Below are 3898 nucleotides of genomic sequence, written 5' to 3'. Positions count from 1 at the left end.
ATGTGTAGCTTTTTGAATTAAAATTTTCATGCTCCAGGTGTGCTCTGAATATTTCCACAAGCAAACAAAATTCTTCTACAGTTGTCATTCCTAAATGTCCACGTAGAGACTTCAATCCTTTCACTCAGATGAGTTTGGAATATCAAGCCTTTTGCTTCACATATTGTTTCTAAAACATGTCAGGTACTGGCAGGTCCTGGCTAGAGCAAGTTATGACTGTTATGGTGGTGCTTCAGAGAAAGAGGACAAAAAAGAAGATTGGGACAGAAAACTGCCTGCCACACAAGAGCATGGGGCTAACAGGGCAGGAGTCAGGACTCAAAGATTTACTAGCTGTGTCATGTGGCTCTTGACTGACCTAGAAAAGGCTTGAAGTAACACTGAAATGAGGGGTGAGTGAGGGTGAGCAGTTTGCAGGTGTAAAGGAGCCCTACTAATGTTACTTAACAATCACAAACATAGTGCTTATTCTAGGACAGGCACTGTTTTCAGCTTTCTGTGGAAATCTTGCAACATTATCTGCTGGGTACTATTATTTCCATTCTTCAGAAGGAGAAACTGCAGAGGTTATGTAATTTGCCTGTGGTTACACAGCTGTGGCTCTGGGATTCAGTTTAGCTTCAGAGTCACTTCTCCTTAAGAGAGGCACTATGCTGTAGTGACTCCCATTGTTGTTAACTGTGACTTCAAGCTATATAGCCTCACAGTTTTCTAATCTGTGAAATGAGGGTGTTCTATTATGTTATTTCCAAGGGCTCTTTCAAATGTAACAGTAAATAACTCAAAGCCAGTGTGGTGGCCCACAAGGGCTTCACTTTCAAACTTGCCAGGTTTAGAAGAATCTAGAGAATGGCATAGTATCAGGACATGGAATCTGTTCTGCTTAAAGATTCCCTGATCTGCAAATCTCATTATTTCATGGATTTGAAGGCTCTTCTTGCCTCCTTGAATGACTTTGCATCCCTCTCATTTGCTGAGAGTTGTGACAATATTGGATTACTGGTGGAACCAAGAGCATCACATGCTATAAACACACTCTTCCAGACCAATGACTTGACTGAGGGAGTGATGGAGGAGGTGCTGTGAAGGAAGGCAGACCTCATTCTCTCCTGCCATCCACCAATTTTCAGACCTATAAGGCACATAACCTAGAAAACCTGGAAAGAACTCCTGGTAATCCAGGGTCTGGAGAACGAAGTTGGTATGTATTTTCCTCACATAGCCTATGATGCTGCACCCCAGGGAGTTTGCAACTGGTTGGCTAAAGGGCTTGGAGCTTGGACCTCTAGGCTGATGCATCCTTTCGAAGCTTCCAATGACTCCATAGAGAACCCACCGAAGACCTGGACAAAGTCACGTCTGCAGTGAAAAAGAGTTGTGAATGTTTCTGTCGCTTCTTTGTCTCCTGGGATTGATGATGAAAAACAAACATGACTCAGTCTCAGTTATACTCAGAAGACTTTGATGCAGGTAGTGGCTTTTCTCTCCCAGAGCATAAAATGACATCAGAAGACTGAAATTATGTACTGGAGAAGCCTTTGCTTCTACATACTGGAATGGGATGGTTATGCATACTGGATGAATCTATCTCCCTGACAGCCATGACTGAGTAAATCACAAGCCACTTAAAACTATTACATATGTGCTTAGTTCTTAGAGTAGCGAGGACTGAAGAGTTCTAAAGTCAAAGTCGTGGCCCTGTGTGCTGGTTCTGGGAGCAGCGTTCTGCAGAGTATAGAAGCTGACCTTTACCTCCAGCTGGGTAAAGGTCATCCCAGGTGGGATGTCTCATCATAATATTCTGAATGCTGCTTCCTAAGGAGTAAATGTCATCCTTTATGAACTCAGCAACACTGAATAAGACTTTCTTTCTGACATTTGAGATATACTGGGTGCTTACTTGAAGAGTAAGATTAATATTATCCTTCAGAGACAAGCAAGGACCTTCTTTATGTAGTATAACGCAGATAGGAACATCAGGATGACACAATCTACAAATCGATTGGGCCCTTTCAGAAGAGTGTCTTAAAATTTATTATAATTTCTGATTTGTTACACTGGCTCACCACATGTTTCATAGCTCATAAGGTAAAAACTGAAAAATAACTACCATGTTAAAGAACAAATATTTATTATAAACTCTACGAAAGACTGACTAAAATCTATTTACTTAAAAAACGTCATGAATTGGTGAATATTTTTATCATTCCAGCTTTTTAAATATGTGCTGTAGATATATTAAATGCTTTTGCAATTTAATCCAGGATATATGATTAGGTGGTTGGGTACCAACACATATACCAGTCCTGATAGCCCTGCACTTTCCTTTGTATTTTTTCAAGCTCTATATGATGTTAGTATGTCAATTATCCTTTAAGAAAGTTTCTCAGCTGGGCATGGTGGCTCACGCCTGTAATCCCAGCACTTTGGGAGGCAGAGGTGGGCAGAGCACGAGGTCAGGAGTTCGAGACCAGCTTGACCAACATGGTGAAACCCCATTTCTACTAAAAATACAAAAATTTGCTGGGCATGGTGGTGCATGCCTATAATACCAGCTATGCAGGAGGCTGGGGCAGGAGAATCGCTTGAACCAGGAGGTGGAGGTTGCAGTGAGCCGAGATCATGAGATCATGCCATTGTACTCCAGCCTGGGTAACAGAGCAAGACTTCGTCTCAAAAAAAAAAAAGTTTCTAAATCCATTTCCTTTTCCTGAGTTTTTCACTCTTGTACTAATAGGAAATACTTCATATACTTCACCAAGTGCTAATTCTGTAGACAGTGGGTGTCTACTTCTCCATTTCTCCATTTGTGCCAGGACTGTGACTTAAAGATTGGATATTCCTACAGTAGTAATGAAGAAGAGTAGGATTGGGTGGGTTAGCACCATTTGAATACTGAAAAAAGTCCTCTAGCAGTACAAAGCATTCCTTTTTTTTTTTTTTTTTAACCACCCAGGACTCCAAACCTTGGGTTTGTCTTAGTACAGGAAATTAGAAATATCTAGAAGAGATTTACGGGCACTAGGAGGAATTTTCAGAACTAAACAAGGGTAATGGCTCAATGAATATATTAATTCTTTGTTATATTCATTTATATGTATATTAATTAACTCTGTTTATTGACTGACTATTGTAAGGCACAAGACTAAATTCTACAGGTGAGGAATTAAAAAAAATTAATAAACTAACATCCCAGCCTCAAGATTACTAATAAGTAGGTTATACACAATTGGGCAAGTAGAATTTTAAAGTCTCTTATATAGTTTTTAAAAAGATCCCCTATGGGACCAAATGAAATACTTGGTCCAGACACACCAGAAAAGGAGAAAGAGAAATATCTGATATGTATAGCAAGCATGGAAGGGTTTAGTGTAAACCCTGGGTAAGAGTGGAAGACGTCAACATCTTGCACTAAATGTGTTAAAAAATGTAAGACACTACTAAAGTTTAGAGAAAATCTAGAGCAGTCTGTAAAAGGAATTCCAGTTGACTAGACAGTAGTTCTTAGAAATTGTGGCAAGATGCACTAAGAAAATTTAAAGAAAAGCAATTATGATTAAATAAATACAGCAGAAGTCAGCAATGTGTCCATTAACATGACAATTGGAAAACAAGGATCAAGAGCTACTTGGAGATCCAAATGGGCAACAGGATGATTTCCAGCAGAAATATGGTCTTAAATACAAAGTTTGGTATCAGGGGAGGATTCAAAGTTCTAGGTATCAAGATTGGCTTGAATAAGTTGCAGCTGAAGTCCTAAATATGATAAGGAATCAGGCTGATGATCATCTGCACACTGAAATGCAAGAGAATAAAATAAGGGAAAGATGGTAGTAAAAAATAAAAATGAATCTCAGTCACTTAAGTGTGATAAATAGTTGGAAATAAATACAAATAA

The 3898-nt window shown here is 39.3% G+C and overlaps 1 pseudogene; it reads left to right on the top strand.

Annotated features, from left to right (window-relative positions):
- LOC100129274 (NGG1 interacting factor 3 like 1 pseudogene) lies at window positions 877-2000 on the top strand (annotated as a pseudogene).

The sequence above is a fragment of the Homo sapiens genome, chromosome 1, assembly GCF_000001405.40.
Source record: "Homo sapiens chromosome 1, GRCh38.p14 Primary Assembly".
NCBI lineage: Eukaryota > Metazoa > Chordata > Mammalia > Primates > Hominidae > Homo > Homo sapiens.
The sequence above is the reverse complement of the archived record's forward strand: the minus strand, read 5'-3'. Positions and strand labels throughout refer to the sequence as shown.